Genomic DNA, 21,277 nt, shown 5'->3' with positions numbered 1-21,277 from the left:
GCAGTGTGGGAGAAATCAGTAAGAGTGCCTTGGCAGTGGCTCTGACGGAGGGTGGGGTGGATTCTGGGAGAATTCAAAGGTGGTGGCACCTTGTTACCATTTACTCAGGTGAGCTGGAGATTCTGATATTACAAAACAACAAACTCGACAGAAAGGAAGAAAACAGTAATGTTGGGAAGAAAAACAGTTTGGTTCAGGGATGTCAATGCTGGGAAAATTTGTATAAAATATCTGTCTGGAACTAGTCTTTCAAATAATGACAATCATTCTTTTGAGGGGACAGACACCCCTTGGAAAATCTGATGAAGGATATAGACTCCAGAAAATCACCGGGAAAATGTATATAAATGAAGTCAGGCACAGTGGGGTGCCTCTGTAGTCCCAGCTGCTGGGGAGGCTGAGGCGGGAGCCTCCTTGAGTCCTAGAGGCACACGAACGCCTTTAGGAAGCGGGTATAAGGAGCAGAGAACTGTAAGCAGGGCTTCCCTTCTTTGTAAATCTCATCTAGAGTTCAGGGCAGTTCAGAGAAAGCATTCATTTGTTCATTCATTCAACAAGTAACTCTTTGAGAAACTTCCAAGTGTCAAGCCCCATGCTGGGCCACATTGTGAGGCAGAAGGAGGTGAATCAGACACAGTGCCTGCTCCCGGGACACTCACGGTCTGGTGGGGGATACCAAGATAGAACAGGCAATGAGTGTACAGTGATGGCAGAGGTAGCAGAGAGAACTGTGGGAGCCTGGGGGTGGGGGCAGGGGCAGAACTACTTCCTACAGTTCCCTCTTCCCACAGCAATCTGGTCCTATACCTCTCTGACTACAAAGCAAAACAGTTAAAAAAAAAAAAAAAATCCAAGTATTCCCTGAGGTGCTACTCTGAGCTGTCCATGTCAGAGCTCTCACCCACACTGTGGCCCCATCCAGCTTTCACCTCTCAACTGGGATGGAGCCTGTGAACCCTCTCTCTCCTCACAGGCTCCCCAGGGTGCTGCCAAAGGCCTCACAGCCAACATACCCCCTATACCATCAAGGGCAGCTCCTCCTCCCCAGACCAGCTTTTGAATAAATTACCAACCCCCTTTGCACTTCCTTCTTTCTGTGCTTAAACCTTATTCATTTTATTTATTTATTATTATTATTTTAGACACACAGTCTCACTCTGCTCCCAGGCCGGAGTGCAGTGGCGTGATCATAGCTTATCGCAGCCTTGAACTCCTGGGCTCAAGCGATCCTCCCACCTCAGACTCTGGAGTAACTGGGATTACAGGTGTGAGCCACCATGTACAGCTCCTATTCCTTTTAATAGTTGAGCTGCAGGGAAATAAGGAGTAATGAAAATAGCTAGCTTTAAGGAAGTTAGAGATTTGCAAGAAACCTGAAGTGTCCTGGTAAGAGCTGGTCCTTTTATTCACAGCATCCAAAGGCTGGGGCTGGGCTGGGCTTCCTTACACTTCTTCCCTGACTTCTCCCTTCTTAGGGGTTTTAGGGGAAAGCATCCAGCTCCAAGTTTGGGCATCAGCAATCCTGCCTGTTGGCTGCTACCAATGTTGGATGCTAGGCTGCATCTGCTTATCCTAGCTGCTTCCCTAGCACTGGCTTCTGCCAATGGCCCCTAAGTATCCCTTTCATGGCTCCAGCTGTTCCTCTTACCTTCCTGGGTTCAGCTCTATCACTCTGGGAGGGAGAAAAGTTCCCTTCCTCTTTGTTCTTTGAAGAGTGCTACCCAGGGCTTCAGGTCCTCTTGTCCTGGTTGACATTCACCAATCCCAAAAGTTTCTCTGGCCAGGAGTGTTGGCTCATACCTGTAATCCCAACATTTGGGAAGCCCAAGGCAGGAGGATGGCTTGAGCCCAGGAATTCAAGACCAGCCTCAGCAAAATAGAGAGACCTTGTCTTATTTTATTCACAGGGTTTTAAAAAACTTTTTTTTTTTTTAATTTAAAAGCTAGCCAGGCATGGTGGTGCACACCTGTGGTCCAGCTACTCGGGAGTCTGAGATGAGAGGATCGCTTGAGCCCAGGAGGCTGAGGCTGCAGTAAGCCATGATTGCACCACTGCACTCCAGCACATCAGCCTGGGTGACAGAGTGACCGAGCCAGAACCTGTCTCAAAAAGAAAGTATCTCTGACATGGATACTTGGTAATCCTACTGTAACATGCAATTGCTTTTTAGAATATTTAATTCTATTTTAGAAAATGAATAAATTTACAGTTTGTAAGATAAAGGCAAAATCTTTTAAAATGTGTTAAGATAATAAGTACAAGATGTGTGTGACAAACATAGAAAAGATAGAAGAACCAAGAGATACCTACTATTCTTGAGGTACTAAATATACATGAGGCACTAGAATTCTGTAACAATCTAAATATACAAGAAACCCTAAATATTCATTCATGAAGTCTCAATGTGGAGGATGACAACCATTCTGGCCCCATCTTCTGTCCAAAACATACAAATAAACCCATAACTGCTCAGCTGGCTAATTGGAAAGCTACAGTGGTGACAAGGTGTACCGTAGCTGTGCGTATCTTTGGAATTAGTGTGTCTGATCCAGGGAAGGGTCCATCTGTGGGCATGCCTTTGCTCAAACCTCAATTCATTTTTTTTTTTTTTTTGAGACAGATCCTCACTATTTTGCCCAGGCTGGCGTGCAGTGGCATGATCCCGGCTCACTGCAACCTTTACCTTCTGGGTTCAAGTGATTCTTCTGCCTCAGCCTCCTAAGTAGCTGGGATTACAGGTGCCTGCCACCATGCCAGGCTAATTTTTGTATTTTTAGTAGAGATGGTGTTTCAAGATGTTGGCCAGGCTGGTCTCATACTCTTGACCTCAAAAGTGATCCACCCGCTTCAGCCTCACAAAGTGCTGGGATTACAGATGTGAGCCACCGCACCAGGCCTCAAACCTCAATTCTGTTCTTTATAGCTGCACTGTCAGCAGGGAAGACTAATGCAGCCAAGAGACTGAACATATGAACAATTGTGACCCCCAGGATTCAGATACTGTGACACTTCCACCCTGCTGCATGCATCCTATCCCAAGTGTGTTAACCTACCGCATCTCTTTCCTCTTGCTTTTTCCTGTGTGTTTTTAGCTTCACTTAATAAAGCATGTGATTTGAGCATTTAACTTGGCTTTTTTGGTTTTTTTTTTTTTTAAACAGGGTCTCTGTTACCCAGGCTGGAGTGTAGTGGCACAAACATGGCTCACAACCTTGACCTTTTGGGCTCCAGTGATCCTCCTGTCTCAGCCACCCAAGTGGCTAGAATTACAGATGCACACCACCATGCCTAGCTAACTTTTAAAATTTTTGTAGACATGAGGTCTCCCCATGTTGCCCGGGCTCTTCCCAAACTCCTGGGCTCAGGGGATCCTCCAGCTTTGGCCTCCCAAAATGCTGGGATTACAGGCATGAGCCACTGCTCCTGGCCTGAAAGCCTTTTTGTTCTTTGATTTCTGGGATAGCTGGCCTGATAGCGCACTTGGAAGCTACTACTGCTTCACCATATGCACCTACTTTCATAGCCTTTGTTTCTTCAAATCCTATTTGGCTGGTTATGACAAACTAGCTCAGCATGGGTTCTCATCCAGTATACATTTTACCTCTATCTTTTTTTTTTTTTTTTTTGGTAGAGATAGGGTCTCACTGTGTTACCCAGGCTAGAGGGCAGTGGTGCAATCTTGGCTCACTGCAACCTCCACCTCCTGGGCTCAAGCCACCATCCCATCTCAGCCTCCCGAGTAGCTGGGACTACAGGCATATGCCATCACACCTGGCTAATTTTTTGGTATTTTTTGTAGAGACGGGGTTTTGCCATGTTGCCCAGGTAGGTCTTGAACTCCCGGGCTCAAGCAATCTGCCTGTTCAGCCTCCCAAAGTGCTGGGATTACACGCATGAGCCACTGCGCCCGGTTGCCTCTATCTTTTTTCTTTACCCTTATTCCCCTGCCTTCTTGACCTGAGTCCTTCCCCTGATCCCCACCACAGGCAGAGGTCCTGGAGGCTAAGTAACCAAAGTTAACACAAGTCCTATCTTTTTTTTTTTTTTTTTTTTTTGACACGGAGTTTTGCTCACGTTTCCCAGGCTGGAGTGCAATGGCGCGATCTCGACTCACCGCATCCTCAGCCTCCCCTGTTCAAACGATTCTCCTGCCTCAGCCTCCCGAGTAGCTGAGATTACAGGCATGCACCACCACGCCCGGCTAATTTTTGTATTTTTAGTAGAGACGAGGTTTCACCATGTTGGTCAGGCTGGTCTCGAATTCCTGATCTCAGGTGATCCGCCTGCCTTGGCCTCCCAAAGTGCTGGGATTACAGGCATGAGCCACTGCGCCCAGCCCACAAGTCCTATCTTACAAAGCCATTTTGTAAGACATTTCTAGAGGAAGACAAAGTTCATCTCCCAACTCCAGGTGAACTTTTCACTATTCCTAGGTGCAGGGAGCTGGAGAGGGTTCTGGACTTTTTGGGTTTTGTTTTACTTTCCTGAATATTGGGGGTCCTCTGCTGAAAGTTCCTTAAAGGCAGGGACTGTTTATCATCTCTGCTGTCCTAGCTCCCACCACAGGGTGTAAAACAAACAAATTGCTCTAGCACCATTGAACTGTGTGTTCTTGAATTCTTTCATCTTGGCAGTTCAGTCTTTCACATCTAATCCATGACAAGTTCTAGCAGCTCTAGTAAAGTTGTTCTTAAATTTTCTTCCTTCATCTCTATTGCCACCACCACTATCCTGGTCCAAGCCATTCTAGCTCGACAGTTTTCTTTTTCTTTTTTTTTTTTTTTTGAGTCGGTGTCTCGCTCTGTCGCCCAGGCTGGAGTGCAATGGCACGATCTTGGCTCACTGCAACCTCCACCTCCTGGGTTCAAGCAATTCTACTGCCTCAGCCTACCTAGTAGCTGGGATTACAGGCACTCGCCACCATGCCTGGCTAATTTTTGTATTTTCAGTAGAGAAGGGGTTTCACCATGTTGGCCAGGCTGGTCTCAAACTGCTGACCTCATGATCCGCCTGCCTCAGCCTCCCAAAGTGCTGGGATTACAGGCATGAGCCACCGCGCCCAGCATAGCTAGATATTTTTCTAGTTAGGAACATATTATAGCTTCCCTACTTTCCCTATAAACTTCCCTAACCTACTTTCACAAAGCTGATACATTGATCTGAGAGAGAAAGAGACAGAAAGAGAGACAGAGGGAGAGAGAGAGAGAGAGAGAGAAATTGAGAAATTGATTAACCTCAAAAATCTAGAATCCTTGAAATCTGGCATATTTCAGGCAAAAATTCCCATTCATGGAAGAGGTGAGGTGGGTCTGTGAGCCCACAGTTTTATATATATATATATAGATATACTTTTTTTTTTTTTTTTTTTTTGCTGCCACAGACATATTTCTGTTCTTCATTTTTTTAAAGAAATTAAGACCAAGTGCGGTGGCTCACACCCATAATCCCAACACTTTAGGAGAACGAGGTGGGAGGATTTTGCTTGAGCCCAGGAGTTCCAGGCTGCAGTGAGCTACAGTTGTGCCACTGCACTTCAGCCTGGACCACAGCAAAACTCTGTCTCAAAATATATATAAATAAATAAATAAATAAATAAATAAATAAATAAATAAATTGGCTGTCTACCTTTCCTTTCATGCCTTTCACACTTAGAGTCAGTTGCAGATAATGGAGAACCAACTAAAACCAGCAAAAGGGAAGAGTGGAGTTATTAGTTTGAATAGTTATAGTGTTGCACGTCTGGACCCAAACTTTCAAATGATATGCTCTTGCTTCTTCCTCTCTTGGTCCTGCTCTTAGCTCTCCTTTTCCCTGTATTTTGGTTTCATTTTTTGACCTGCTGTCTCCACACAATGAAAGAAAGCTCTAGCTTTACTTGATCTTATATCTGCATTCCCAGTGACAGAGAAAAGACATCCTTTCCATATATCACTTATAAAGATGACTTTGATAGGTCTGGTTGAGGTTACCTCCTCAATCTTGAGCCAATCATTACTGTGGCCAGGGAGATGGAGGTCTCTGATTGACCAGCCTGTGCCACCCATCCATCCCTGTGGGGTAGGGGTTGTGGTCCCACATAGCAGTTTCACCAACCCTATGTAAAGTAGGGAATGGGGGTTTCCAAAGAAAAAGTGGGGACAGAAACAACGGAAGTCCAGTCCTTTTTTTGCAAGGCAGTGGGGCATATAAGATTTGTTTGTTTGTTTATTTGTTTTTGTGACAGGGTCTCACTCTTGTCACCCAGGCTGGAGTGCAGTGGCATGATCTTGGCTCACTGCAACCTCCACCTCCCAGGTGCAAGTGATTCTCCTGCCTCAGCCCCCCGCGTAGCTGGGATTACAGGCTCACACCACCATGTCTGGCTAATTTTTTTTTTTAATGTATTTTTAGTAGAGATAGAGTTTTACCACATTGGCCAGGCTGGTCTCAAACTCCTGACCTCAGGTGATCCACTCACCTCAGCCTCCCAAAGTTGGAATTACAGGCATAAGCCACCACGCCTGGTCATAACATGGTTTCTTATATGCACCCAACTCTTTCTTTTTTTTTCTTTATTTTTGAGATAGGGTCTCATCAGTCATCAGGCTGGAGTGCAGTGGTGTGCTCACAGCTCACTGCAGCCTTGACCTCCCCAGGCTCAAATGATCCTCCCACCTCAGCCTCTGGAGTAGCTGGGACTACAGGTGTGCACCACCACACCCAGCTATTTTATCTTTTTATTTTGTGTAAAGATGGGGTCCTGCTATGTTGCTCAGGCTGGTATTGAACTCCTGGGCTCAAGTGATCCTCCTACCTTGGCCTCCTAAAGTGCTGGGACTATAGGCGTGAGTCACCAGGCTGGCCCCTGACTCTTTTTTTTTTTTTTTTTTTTTTTTTTTGAGACAGGGTCTCACTCAGTTGCCCAGGCTGGAGTGCAGTTGTGCTTACTGCAGCCTTGACCTCCTGGGTTCAAATGATCCTCCCACTTCAGCCTCCCGAGTAGGTGAGACTACAGGCATGAGCCACCACACCTGGCCACCCCCGACTCTTTCTTACCTCTGTGTATGGACAGTGTTCTTTCCTCTGCCTAGAATTCTCTCCCTACTCCCTCACCTCTCAAATCTTATGTGACTAACTCCTATTTGGCCTTTAGATCTCAGCTTAAATGTTAGCTACTCCAGGATGCTTCCCCAACCCTGCATATTAAATTATACCTATCTGACTGACACTTGTATAGCAATTTTATAACATAAAAGATAAAACAGAAATGTCGGCCAGGTGCAGCGGCTCAAGCCTGTAATCCCAGCACCTTAGGAGGCTGTGGAGAGCAAATTGCTTGAGCGTAGGAGTTGGAGACCAGTTTCTGCAACATGGCAAAAACCCGTTAGCCATGGAAAGGAGCCAGGCGTGGTGGCATGCATCTGTAGTCCCAGCTACTGGGAAGGTTGCGATGGGAGGATCACTGGAGCTCAGGAGGTCAAGGCTGCAGTGAGCTGTGATCTCATCACTGCACCCCAGCCTGGGCAGCAGAGCGAGACCCTGTCTCAAAAAATAAAAATAAAAAATTGTTGGCCAAGCATGGTGGCTCACGCCTGTAATTTCAACACTTTCAGAGGCCAAGGCTGGAGGATCGCTTGAGCCAAGGAGTTGAAGACCAACCTGGGTGACATAGTGAGATCCTGTATCTACCAAAAAAAACAAAAAAATAAATTAGACAGGTGTGATGGCAAGTGCCTGTGGTCCCAGCTACTAAGGAGGCTGAGGTGGGAGGATCTCTTGAGCCCAGGAGGTCAAAGCTGCAGTGAGCTATGATTGTGTCACTATACTCCAGCCTGGGTGACAGAGTGAGACCCTGTCTCAAAACAAAAACAAAACAAAACAAAACAGAAATCTCGCCATCAGAGGAAAAATAAAAAAAGAAAGAATATAGAAATGGACTAGCTGATATCAAAGTGCATCACACAGAATAAAGGTCTTATTAAATTTTTATTTCAGCACACATTATCAATACACATACAGACACACTTCCCTATGTATTGGGTTGCAATGCAAAATGCATTCTTACGGGGAATTGGATCAAAAAAAGTTTAAGAAAGCTTGCATTAAGCTGTGTCTGGCAAAAGTATGCTAAGATTGTATCTGTCCAGTTCAGAGCTCCCCAGAGATCCGGATATTGAGACACGTCATCACTAGAAAATAACACCTGGGAAGCTCATTCAAAGAACCAGAGTGGAAGTGCAGACACAATATCAGGATGCTGTTGCAGGGTGAACTCTGGATTTCTGTACTTTGGTTGGCTTATATTACATCCTCAAGGCCATTTAATCATATGCACAGTCAGGTGTGTTTTCTCTATATATATTTTTTCCTTCAAATAACAGATGACTTAATGTTTCCAAAGTTGAATACAAATTTTTTTTTACTCTTTTTTTTTTTTTTTTTGCTGCCATGTACGATTAGGCCATGAATTGCATATTCCTAGAAAACACCAAATTAACTAAAATCTTAGAGGGAGGGTGGGAGGCAGTATGATGTGAAAGCAACAGGGGCTATTGTCCTAATCCCTCTTTCAGCATTTGCTGGCTATGTGAATTCAGGTGAAGGGACCTAACATTCATTAGCTGAGGACTTACTTAGAGCAAGGCCCTGTGTCAACTGTGGGAGGTATAAAAATAAACACTCTGTCTACACTTTGTCCTGAAAGTGTAGACAAAGTTTACAACCTGGTAGGAGATATAAGTAAATAAATAAATAGCCAAAATATGGCCGGGCGCAGTGGCTTACATCTGTAACCCTAGCACTTTGGGAGGCCAAGGCAGGTGGATTGCCTGAGCTCAGGAGTTTGAGACCAGCTTGGGCAACACAGTGAGACCCTGTCTCTACTAAAATACAAAAAATTAGCCGGGGGTGGTGGCGTGCAACTGTAGTCCTAGCTACTTGGGAGACTGAGGCAGGAGAATTGCTTGAACCCGGGAGGCGAAGATTGCAGTGAACCAAGATTGCGCCACTGCACTCTATCCTGGGTGACAGTGAGACTCCATTTCCAAAAAAAAAAAAAATTGCCAAAATATAATCCCTAGTGGCTAATGTAGCTTATCAGTCATAAATTCATACGTACACACATTTATTCTTTTGTTTTTGAGATAGAGTCTTGCTCTTTCGCTCAGGCGGAAGTGAAGTGGCGCAATCTTGGCTCACTGCAACCTCTGCCTCCCAGGTTCAAGTGATTCTCCTGCCTCAGCCAACCAAGTAACTGGGATTACAGATGCCCACCACCACGCCCGGCTAATTTTTGTATTTTTAGTAGAGTGGGGGTTTCGCCACGTTGGCCAGGCTAGTCGTGAACATCTGACCTCAGGTGATCCACCCGCCTTGGTCTCCCAAAGTGCTAGGATTACAGGCGTGAGCCACCGTGCCCCACTCATGTAAATATTTTTTAATCAGCTATTCATTACTTCCAAAAATATGCATCGAGGATTATCTAGGTGGCTGACCCAGTGCTGGGCATGCAGAGACAAATAAGATATCATTCTTGCCTTGAAGGCATTCAGTCTGATGGAGTTTTCAGTCTCAGAGATATGAACAGAGTTCTGGTAAGAATTAGGCCCAGGCCGGGCGTGGTGGCTCTCGCCTGTAATCCCAGCACTGTGGGAGGCTGAGGCTGGCAGATCACCTGAGGTCAGGAGTTCAAGACCAGTCTGGCCAACATGCAAAACCCCGTCTCTACTAAAGCTACAAAAATTAGCTGGGCATGGTGGCTCACGCCTGTAGTCCTGGCTACTCAAGAGGCTGAGCCAGAAGAATCGCTTGAACCCAGGAGGCGGAGCTTGCAGTGAGTCGAGAGCGTGCCATTGCACTCCAGCCTGGGCAACAGAGCAAGACTCCATCTCAAAAAAAAAAAAAAAATACTATACAAAAATTAGCCGGGCATAGTGGCAGGCACCTGTAATCCCAGCTACTCAGGAAGCTGAGGTAGGAGAATCTTTTTTTTTTTTTTTTGAGACGGAATCTTGATCTGTTGTCCAGGCTGGTGTGCAGTGGCGCAACCTCTGCCTCCTGGGTTCAAGCAATTCTCCTGCCTCAGCCTCCCGAGTAGCTGGGATTAAAGGCGCCTGCCACCATGCCCGGCTAATTTTTTCGTATTTTTAGTAGAGACGGGGTTTCACCATGTTGGTCAGGCTGGTTTTGAACTCCTGATCTCAAGTGATCCACCTGCCTCGGCCTCCCAAAGAGTTAGGATTACAGGCGTGAGCCACCGTGCCAGGCCGAGAATCACTTGAACCTGAGAGGCGGAGGTTGTAGTGAGCCGAGATGGTGCCATTGCACTCCAGCCTGAGCAACAAGAGTGAAATTCCATCCCAAAAATAAATAAATAAATAAATAAATAGGCCCATTTATGAAGGAATCAGACAATTTGATTTTAATTTCAGGTACACTCCTTCCCAGCTGTATGACCTTGGGCAAGTTGTTAACCACTCTGAGGCTCAGTTTCTCCATCTGGAAAACACATGTAATAATAATGTTATTAGGAGGATTAAATAAATTCAGGTAATTACCCTTGTGCTAATAGATAGTAGAAAAGCACTCAATGGGCTGGGCACAGTGGCTCACGCCTGTAATCCCAGCACTTTGGGAGCCAAGTCAGGCAGATTACCTGAGATCAGGAGTTCAAGACTAGCCTGGCCAACTTGGCAAAATCCCGTCTCTACTAAAAATACAAAAATCAGTTGGGCGTGGTGGCAAGTGCGTGTAGTTCCAGCTACTGGGGAGGCCTGAGGCAGAAGAATAGCTTGCACCGGGGAGGTGGAGGTTGTAGTGAGCTGAGATCCCGCTACTGCACTCCAGCCTGGATGACAGAGCGAGACTCTGTCTCAAAAAAAAAAAAAAGAAGTACTCAATGGATGTTTTATATTTAACTTAAAAAGAAATCCCTTCCCCCACCATATCTATTCAATTTTATAAGATGAAAAACATTTTTTTCTTCAGTGTTGAAGATGTTCGGATAGAAAATCAGATGCTGTGGTGGCTTATGCTTGTAGTCTGAGGCAGCAGGATCACTTGAGGCCAGGAGTTCAAAAAAATCAGATGCTGCAAACTAGATGCAGTTTTAAAAAAATAGATGTTGAAATTTATATGAATAAATGTTGGTGAATGCAGTTAAGTTGTAGATATAGATTAAAGAAATTCTGGCCAGATGTGGCGTCTCACTCCTGTAATCTCAGCACTTTGGGAGGCCAAGGCTGGAGGATCACTTGAAGCCAGAAGTACGAGATCAGCCTGGGCAACAAAGCAAGAGTCCATCCCTACAAAAGATAAAATAGTCTGGGCACGGTGGCTCATGCCTGTAATCCCGGCACTTTGGGAGTCTGAGGCGGGCGGATCATGAAGTCAGGAGATTGAGACCATCCTGGCTAACATGGTGAAATCCCGTCTCTACTAAAAATACAAAAAATTAGCCGGGCGTGGTGGCAGACACCTGTAGTCCCAGCTACTCGGGAGACTGAGGCAGGAGAATGGCGTGAACCTGGGAGGCGGAGCTTGCAGTGAGCCAAGATCATGCTACTGCACCCCAGCCTGGGTGATGGAGCGAGTCTCCGTCTCCAAAAAAAAAAAAAAAAAAAAGATAAAATAATTAACCAGGCATGGTGGAGTGAGCCTGTAGTCCCATCTATTCAGGAGGCTAAGGCAGGAGGATTGCTTGAGCCCAGGAGGTTGAGGTTGTGGTGAGCCATGATCACACCAGTGCACTCCAGCCTGAGTGACAGAGTGAGACTCTGACTCCTAAAAAAAATTTAGCTGGGCGCGGTGGCTCACGCCTGTAATCCCAGCACTCTGGGAGGCTGAGGTGGGTGAATCACCTGAGGTCAGGAGTTCGAGACCAGCCTGGGCAACATGGTGAAACCCCATCTCTCCTAAAAATACAAACCTTAGCTGGGCATGGTGGTGCACACCTGTAGTCCCAGCTACTCATGAGGCTGAGGCAGGAGAATCACTTGAACCTGGGAGGCGGAGGTTGCAGTGAGCCAAGATGGTGCCTCTGCACTCCAGCCTGGGCAACAAGAGCAAAACTCCATCTCAAAAAAAAAAAAAAAAATTAAAAACAGAAATTCTTTCTATTTAAGTTCTGAAGTATTTTTGCTTTACCCCCCTTAATAAGGCCTATATAAGTAGGGTAGGCTACCTTTGTGGCAGTTACAAACAGCTCCAGAATCTTAGTAATTTAAGTATGGCAAATGTTTATTTCCAGTTCATGCAGTCAGCCACCCTCCTGGCAGCTCTCCAAGGTAGCTGTACTTCTTGTGTTGGCTCAGTTATTCTGACCCCCTCTTTCAGTGGCAAGATCTTGGCTCACTGCAACCTCTGCCTCCCGGATTCAAGCGATTCTCCTCCCCAGCCTCCCAAGTAGCTAGTATTACAGGTAGGGGCCACCACGCCTGGCTAATTTTTGTATTTTTAGTAAAGATGGGGTTTTGCCATGTTGGCCAGGCTGGTCTCAAACTCCTGACCTCAGGTGATCCGCCTGCCTTGGCCTCCCAAAGTGCTGGGATTACAGGCATGAACCACTGCGCCGGGGCCTGGAACCCCTCTTTCTTGTGGCACCTTTGTTTCAGCATAGGGGAAAGAAAGGACCTGGAGAAACACACTGCACCTCTTGAATGCTTCCACCGAGAGGTAGCAGCTGCCACTTGTGCTTACCAAAGCAAGTGATTTGCATTAGCCAAAGCAAGTCTCATGACTTCACCCAACTTCAAGGATTCCACCTAACTTCAAGGCAGCAGTCCTCTGGAGGGGAAATGAGCTGGAAATACTAGTTAATGGTGATTATGTCTACCCCAGGATGTCATACCATGCTTTCTACATGCCAGTCACACTGGCCTTTTTTGGTCTTTCAAACTGATACATTCCTTACTGCCACAGGACAATTGCCTAGGCTGTTCTCTCTGATTGCAACATTTTTCATTCCACTCTTTGCTTGGTTAAAGTCTATTCTTCCCTCGGACTGAGCCTAGTGTCCCTTCTTAAGGGAAACCTTTGCTTTCGCCTCTGACTATGTCAATTTCTCATATTATTTATTTTTTTCATTTAAAAATTATTTTAATCATTTCTTGTCTTGACATTACCTTCAGCCAACTCACACCAAAATTCCCCCTATTATTATTGCTGTCACAACATCAGGCACTCCCACTTTATAGCACTTAGCTGTAATTTGCAGTTCATCATGTGATGACTTCATTAATGACTATTTCTTCCTCTGCAGCATCAGCTGCAAGCAACATGTTGTTTTGTTCACCCCTATATCTCCACCACCTATCCCAGTAAATAGGTTTTGTTTTTGTTTTTGTTTTTGTTTTTTTGAGACAGAGTCTCACTCCATCACCCAGGCTGGAGTGCAGTGATGTGATCTTGGCTCACTGCAACCTCTGCTGCCTGGGCTCAAGTGATTCTCATGCCTCAGCCTCCCAAGTAGCTGGAATTACAAAATTATAAAATACAAAAATTAGCCGGACATACACCACCACATCCAGATAATTTTTCTATTTTTTAGTAGAGACAGGGTTTTGCCATGCTGGCCAGGCTGATCTCAAACTCCTTACCTCAAGTGATCTGCCTGCCGCAGCCTCCCAAAGTGCTGGGATTACAGGTATGAGCCACTGCATTCAGCCCAGTTTTTTTTCTTTTTTTTTTTAGAAACAGTCTCACTCTGTCGCCCAGCCTGGAAGGCAGTGGCAAAATCATAGCTCACTGCAGACTGGAACTCCTGGGCGCAAGAGATCCTCTTGCCTTAGTCTCTCCAAGTAGCTGAGACTACAGGCACGCATCACTACACTCAGCTAAATTTTGAAATTTTTTTGTAGAAAGGTTGTCTCACTATCTTGCCAGGGCTGGTCTGAAACTCCTGGGCTCAAGTGATACTCCCACCTTGGCCTCTCAAAGTGCTAGGATTATAGCTGTGAGCCATCGTGCCCAGCCTTTTCAATTTTTTAAATTAAGGCTGGTCACGGTGGCTCACGCCTGTAATTTTTTTTTTTAATTAAAAAAAAATTTTTTTTAACTAGGTGGCCCATGGTCAAGAAAAAAAAATTTTTTTAAGAGTTAGTGTCTTGCCGGACACAGTGGATCACACCTGTAATCCCAGAACTTTGGGAGGCCTAGACGGGCAGATCACTTCAGGTCAGGACTTCGAGACCAGCCTGACCAACATGGTGAAACCCCATCTCCACTAAAAATACAAAAATTAGCCAGGTGTGGTGGTGTGCACCTGTAATCCCAGCTACTCAGGAGGCTGAGGCAAGCGAATCACTAGAATCCGGGAGGCGGAGGTTGCAGTGAGCCGAGATCGCACCACTACGCTCCAGCCTGGGCGACAGAGCGAAACTCAGTCTCAAGACCATCCTGGCTAACACGGTGAAACCCCGTCTCTACTAAAGATACAAAAAAAAAAAAAAAAAAAAAAAAAATTAGCGGGGCATGGTGGCGGGTGCCCGTAGTCCCAGCTACTCCGGAGACGGAGCCAGGAGAATGGCGTGAAACCGGGAGGCGGAGCTTGCAGTGAGCCGAGATGGCGCCACTGCACTCCAGCCTGGGCGACAGAGCGAAACTCAGTCTCAAGACCATCCTGGCTAACACGGTGAAACCCCATCTCTACTAAAAATACAAAAAAAAAAATTAGCTGGGCATGGTGGCGGGTGCCTGTAGTCCCAGCTACTCTGGAGGCTGAGGCAGGAGAATGGCGCGAACCCGGGAGGCAGAGCTTGCAGTGAGCGCAGATCGCGCCACTGCACTCCAGCCTGGGCGACAAAGCGAGACTCCGACTCAAAAGAAAAGAAAAAAAAAAAAAAAAGCCACCGGGCGCGGTGGCTCACGCCTGTAATCCCAACACTTTGGGAGGCTGAGGCGGGCGGATCTCGAGGTCAGGAGATCGAGACCATCCTGGCTAACACTGTGAAACCCCGTCTCTACTAAAAATGCGAAAAATTAGCCGGGCGTGGTGGCAGGCGCCTATAGTCCCAGCTACTCCGGAGGCTGAGGCAGGAGAATGGCGTGGACCCGGGAAGCGGAGCTTGCAGTGAGCCGAGATCGCGCTACTGCACTCCAGCCTGGGCGACAGAGCGAGACTCCGACTCGGGAAAAAAAAAAAAAAAGAATTCTAGGCGAGTCCGTAAAGTGAAGGTTATGTTCACTAACAGAGAAAGGAATAAAGGAATGCCTACTCCATAGGCAGAACAGCCCCACGGGCTACTGGTTGCCCATTTTTATGGTTATTGCTTGATTATATGCTGAACAAGGGGTGGATTATTTATACCTCCCCTTTTTAGACCATACAGGTTACCATAGGGTAACTTCCTGACGTTGCCATGGCATTTGTAAACTGTCATGGCACTGGTGGGAGTGTAGCAGTGAGGATTACCAGAGGTCACTCTCATCGCCATCTTGGTTTTGGTAGGATTTGGCTGGCTTCTTTACTGTAACCTGTTTTATCAGCAAGGTCTTTATGACCTATATCTTGTGCTGACCTCCTATCTCATCCTGTCTGTGACTTAGAATGCCTAATTGTCTGGGAATGCAGCCCAGTAGGTCTCAGCCTTATTTTACCCAGCCCCTATTCAAAATGGAGTTGCTGTGGTTCAAATGCCTCTGACTCTAGTGGGATCTCAGTTCACTGCAACCTCCACCTCCCAAGCAGCAAGTGATCCTCCTACCTCAGCTCCTAGAGTAACTGGGACTACAGGTGCACACCACCACACCCAAATTATTTTTGTATTTTTTGAGGAGATGATGTTTCACCATGTTGCCCAGGCTCACCTCCTGGGCTCAAGCAATCCACCCACCTTGGCCTCCTAAAGTGCTGGCATTACAGGCGTGGGCCATCTCACCCGGCCAACGTGTAAGTCTTGACTGCGTAAGAGGAACAAAATTTATCCGCCCCTTGATCAGTCTAGGGGACTGAAGTCTAAGGAAGTCATTTCACATTTTGCTCATGTCCCCACCCTTACAGATTGCACAATCCAGGTTTTTGTTTTTGAGACCCATCTTGTACGTGCAAGCTCCCCCATTCATTTGCATAGGTATTTCAAGACTGCTGTAGACCTGTGAGTGCTGCTTGATTTAACGATCACAACCTGGTACAAAAAAAAAGCACCAAACTCCCTTAAGTAAGTCAGCTCTTTGGTTTGCTGTTTTCTTAAAGGAAAAAGGCTGGGACAGAGCACTTTTTTCAAAGCTAAAGTAATCCCTTTGAACTTAGGGTTTGTTTTGCCAGTATAAGGCCTTGTGAGCTCCCTAAGGCGCTGTACATAGGCTCTCCACCAAAAATGCAGTTTTGAATGAATTCGGGTGAAAGTGCAGATGGGCCACTGGCATTCGAATTTAGTTATTTCTGCCTTTGACTCCTTAATGGGGCAGAAAATTCTTGATTCAAGGTGTTCAAGGTAGCAGATTATGTAAATGTTAATTTAATTATATTATCTTCCTTAAACGTAAAAACAGGTTAAATTGTAGCCTAGGGTGGCTTGTCCACAAAAACAAACAGGGCAGCACATTTGCTGATGAATAGCTCACATTCCACAAACCCCTTGGGAACCTGGGATACGATCTTTGATCTAACTAACTTCACATACCAATGCTAATTGGTTTTTAAAGTGTCTGATTTATTGTTTCTCAACACCAACTTATATTTCTTTAGTGAATGACACTATTCTACAGCCACAAGTTAATAGGATTGAAGGCTAATTGCACTTAACATACAGCATGAAGGAGGCTGGGCTGGGTGGCTCATGCCTGTAATCCCAGCGCTTTAGGAGGCCGAGGCTGGCCAATCACTTGAGCTCAGGCGTTTGAGACCGTTCTGGGCAACATGATGAAACCCCATTTCTACAAAAACATACAAAAATTAGCCGAGACTGCGCCACTGCACTCCAGCCTGGGTGACAGAGTGAGACCCTGTCTCAAAGAAAAAAAAATAAAAATAAAAAATAAACAAGGCTGGCCGTGGTGGTTTATGCTTGTAATCCTAGCACTTCAGGAGGCCAAGACTGGTGGATCGCTTGAGCTCAGGAGTTCCAGACCAGCCTGGCAGCATGGTGAAACCTCTGTCTCTACAAAGAAAATAACAAAAATTAGCCGGGCATGGTGGCTTGCGCCTGTAGTCCCGGCTGCTTCAGTGGCTGAGGCAGGAAGATTGCTTCAGCCCAGGAGGTAGAGGTTGCAGTGAGCCGTAATCACGCCACTGCACTCCAACCAGGGTGACAGAGTTTTGTTTTGTCTCAAAAAAACAAAAACAGAACAAAAAAAACATACAATGTGATGGCATTCTTGATTTGTAAGGCTAGTCCCTGAGCCTACTTCCCGCCCTTCAAGTGCCCTCACTGCCATACTGACTCCCTCCTCACCAGGCTCCACCCCTTCCTCCCTTCCTCTCCTGCTCTTTGCCTTTTCCTTTTCCTTTTTTCTTTTTTTTTCTTTTTTTTTTTGTTTTGAGACGGAGGCCTGTTGCCCAGGCGGGAATTTTTTTTTGTTTTTTTTGATACGGAGTCTTGCTCTGCCGCCCAGGCTGGAGTGCAATGGCACGATCTCGGCTCACTGCAACCTCCGCCTCCCAGGTTCAAGCTATTCTCCTTCTTCAGCCTCTCAAGTAGTTGGGATTACAGGCACGCGCCACTATGCCCAGCTAATTTTTGTATTTTTAGTAGAGATGGGGTTTCAATGTATTGGTCAGGCTGGTCTCAAACTCCTGACCTTGTGATTTGCCTGCCTCGGCCGCCCAAAGTGCTGGGATTACAAGCGTGAGCCATAGCGCCCAGCCTCCCTCTCCTTTTTCAATCATGATCATAGCTCGCTAAATTACAGCCCTTTTTTTTTGAGATGGAGTCTCATTCTGTTGCCAGGCTGGAGTGCAGTGGCTCGATCTCGGCTCACCACAACCTCCACCTCCCAGGTTCAAGCAATCCTCCTGCCTCAGCCTCTCGAGTAGCTGGGACTACAGGCGTGCACTACCATGCCTGGCTAATTTTTGTATTTTTAGTAGAGATGGGGTTTCACTATGTTGTCCACGCTGGTCTCAAACTCCTGACCTCGTGATCCGCCCACCTCGGCTTCCCAAAGTGTTGGGATTACAGGCATGAGCCACCGCACCCGCCCTAATTACAGCCCTTTTATGTGTTTTCCTTACTGTGTGTATATATATGTACATATACATACTGTATATATAATAAGTGGACATGATAAAATTTCAAATAGCATAAAAGAAAATAACCATAAAAATTAAATCTCCCTTCCACCTTTTTTTCCCAGCCTCTAGTTTTCCTTCTTCCAGACAACTGTTAGTTTCTTGTGTTTTTCTGATGATAATCTATGGCAGCTTTCTTTACTGTTCTGCATCTTACCGATTTCACAAAACAATATTTTAGAGATTGTTTCAGATCAGTGCCTTCTTTTTTTTTTTTTTTTTTGAGACGGAGTTTGCCCTGTTGCCCAGGCTGGAGTGCCGTGGTGCGGTCTTGGCTCACCGCAACCTTCCGCCTCCCGGGTTCAAGCTATTCCCCTGCCTCAGCCTCTCAAGTAGTTAGGATTACAGGCACGTGCCACCACGCCCAGCTAATTTTTGAATTTTTAGTAGAGATGGGGTTTCACTATGTTGGTCAGGCTGGTCTTGGACTCCTGACCTCGTGATTTGCCCGCCTCAGCCACCCAAAGTACTGGGATTACAAGCGTGAGCCACCGTGCCCAGCCGCCTTATTCTTTTTAAAGTTGCATAATATCACGATATTCAGCTATAATCTCTCTCCTCTTTGTGTGTGTGGTGTATATAAATGTAATACATATATATATGTATTTGTGTGTGTATGTATGTGTGTTTTATCAAATTTTCCTTCAAAACATTATATATCTCTTAGTTTGCATTCCAGGAGAATATGTGTAGTCCCCCTGAGTCCCATTGCCTGGCTTTTTCCTCCTTTTCTTTTTTTTATATTTTAAAATATTTTATAGAGACAAGGTCTTACTATGTTGCCTAGGCTGATATTGAACTCCTGAGCTCAAGTGATCCTCCTGCCTTGGCCTCCTTTAGTGCTAGGATTACAGGCTTGAGCCACCACACCTGGGGTCTTCCCCATTTTCAGAATGTCTGTCTTATTTCCTACAGCTTCTAGCCCTGCAAATTTTACACTGGTGTAGCTGAACACTGAACTCTTTCCTAAAAATCATGGATAAAAATGCACATAGAGACCTGTAATCCCAGCACTTTGGGAGGCTGAGGTGGGTGGAGTGCTTGAGCTCAGGAGTTTGAGACCAGCCTGACCAACATGGAGAAACCTCGTCTCTACTGAAAATACAAAAATTAGCCAGGCATGGTGGCAGGTGCCTGTAATCCTACCTACTTGTGAGGCTGAGACACGAGAATCGCTTGAACCCAATAGGCGGAGTTTGCACTGAGTCGAGATTGGGCCACTGCACTTCAACCTGGTGAAAAAGCAAGACTCCGTTTCATGTGTTTCAAAAAAAAAAAAGGAAGAAAGAAAGAAAAAATTAGCTGGAGGCGTATTGGCACGTGACTGTGGTCCTAGCTATTCAGGAGGCTGAGCTGGGAGGATCAGTTGAGGCTGGGAGGTTGAGGCTGCAGTGAGCCTGGATGACAGAGCAAGACTCTTTCTCTCTCTCTCTCTCAAAAAAAAAGTACATACAGGAGAGTAATTTGTTTTTCAAAAGAAAGCCTTACTGGGCACATTAGCATGCACCTGTAGTTCCAACTACTTTGGAAGCTAGGACAGGAGATTTGCTTGAGCCCAGGAGGTCAAATCCATCCAGCCAGGCAACATAGCAAGTGAGACCATTCGTGCTTGGACCTGGCCATATATAGGGGAGCATTCCAGCCCTCAAGTTGCTTGGAACCCACTGAGAGACAGGCAGGAAAACCAGTCATTTCTCAACAGTGAAGTGAGAGTCTCATAGTGGATTACTGGTCCCTAAAGAAGCATGGGGAAGCCAGCAATCAGGAGGAAGTGAAATTGAAGCTGAGGCCTTGAAGAAGAGTTGGCTAAGATAATAAGGCAGATGTGGCTTGGATCATGGAGGGCTGGTAGGGAAGATTTCACAAGCTGAGCCCAAATCCTCCCAGGCCTTCAGCCATAGAGTCAATATTCCGGAGGGAGGAAGTCAGGAAGGATGTCACCAGGCGGGATAAATCTTCCCTCCAGCTCCTATAAAAGTGCTCTTTGATTCTTCTCACAAACCTACCAAGATTCTATCCATCCCAGCAGCCCAGGAATGGTTCCTCAGTATTCCTAGAGAATTTTCCTCTTGTTTGGGAATGTTGATATAATCAGTACTTGGGAACCCAAGGCACATGGCAAGGCTATTTTGGCCAGTCATGAGGAGCAACTGGCAGGCATTTCAGCAAAGTTAGGAGCCTGAAAGATCTGTGTACCAGCTGGCTCTGTGACCTTGAGTGAGCCTGTTAACTTCTCTGGGCCTCAGTTTTCCTCAGCTATAAAAAATTCATTCAGGGGCATGGTGGCTCACACCTGTAATCCTAGCACTTTGGGAGGCTGAGGCAGGCGGATCACAAGGTCAGGAGATCGAGACCATCCTGGCTAACATGGTGAAACCCTGTCTCTTCTAAAAATAGAAAAACAATTAGCTGGGCGTGGTGGCAGGTAGTCCCAGCTACTCGGGAGGCTGAGGCAGGAGAATGGTGTGAATCCAAGAGGCGGTGCTTACAGTGAGTCCAGATAGCGCCACTGTACTCCAGCCTGAGCGACAGAGCCAGACTCCGTCTCAAAAAAAAAAAAAAAAAAATTAAAAAATTTGCCAAGTGTGGTGGTGTGTGCCTGTGGTCCCAGCTACTTTGGAGGCTGAGGTGGAAGGCTTGAGCCCAAAAGGTTGAGGCTGCAGTGAACTGTGATCATTCCACTGCATTCCTGCCTGGGCAACAGAATGAAACACTATCTCAAAAAAAGAATATTAGCTGGGCGCGGTGGCTCACGCCTGTAATCCCAGCACTTTGGGAGGCTGAGGCAGGTGAATCACAATGTCAGGAGTTCAAGACCAGCCTGGCCAACATGGTGAAACCCCGTCTCTACTAAAAATACAAAAAATTAGTCGGCATAGTGGCGGACGCCTGTAATCTCAGCCGCTCAGGAGGCTGAGGCAGGAGAATAGCTAGAATCTGGGATGTGGAGGTTGCAGTGAGCCGAGATCACTCCACTGCACTCCAGCCTGGGCAACAGAACAAGACTCCGTCTCAAAAAAAAAAAAAAAAAAAAAAAAAAAAGAATATTTACTAAGCATCTACTATTTGTC

At 46.1% G+C, this 21,277-nt stretch overlaps 2 annotated features.

Annotated features, from left to right (window-relative positions):
* Nucleotides 18,475-19,216: an enhancer, noted in NCBI's record as "H3K27ac-H3K4me1 hESC enhancer chr3:138562234-138562975 (GRCh37/hg19 assembly coordinates)". NCBI's record gives its function as "activates a minimal SCP1, AML or CMV promoter by ChIP-STARR-seq in primed H9 embryonic stem cells {active_cell/tissue: H9 hESC(primed)}" and the evidence as "EXISTENCE:reporter gene assay evidence [ECO:0000049][PMID:30033119]".
* Nucleotides 19,687-19,981: a silencer, noted in NCBI's record as "tiled region #9070; HepG2 Repressive non-DNase unmatched - State 23:Low, and K562 Repressive DNase unmatched - State 6:EnhF". NCBI's record gives its function as "represses a minimal TATA promoter and a strong SV40 promoter by Sharpr-MPRA in HepG2 and K562 cells {active_cell/tissue: HepG2 | K562}" and the evidence as "EXISTENCE:reporter gene assay evidence [ECO:0000049][PMID:27701403]".

This window comes from Homo sapiens, chromosome 3, assembly GCF_000001405.40.
Source record: "Homo sapiens chromosome 3, GRCh38.p14 Primary Assembly".
In the NCBI taxonomy this organism is placed as follows: Eukaryota; Metazoa; Chordata; class Mammalia; order Primates; family Hominidae; genus Homo; species Homo sapiens.
The sequence above is the reverse complement of the archived record's forward strand: the minus strand, read 5'-3'. Positions and strand labels throughout refer to the sequence as shown.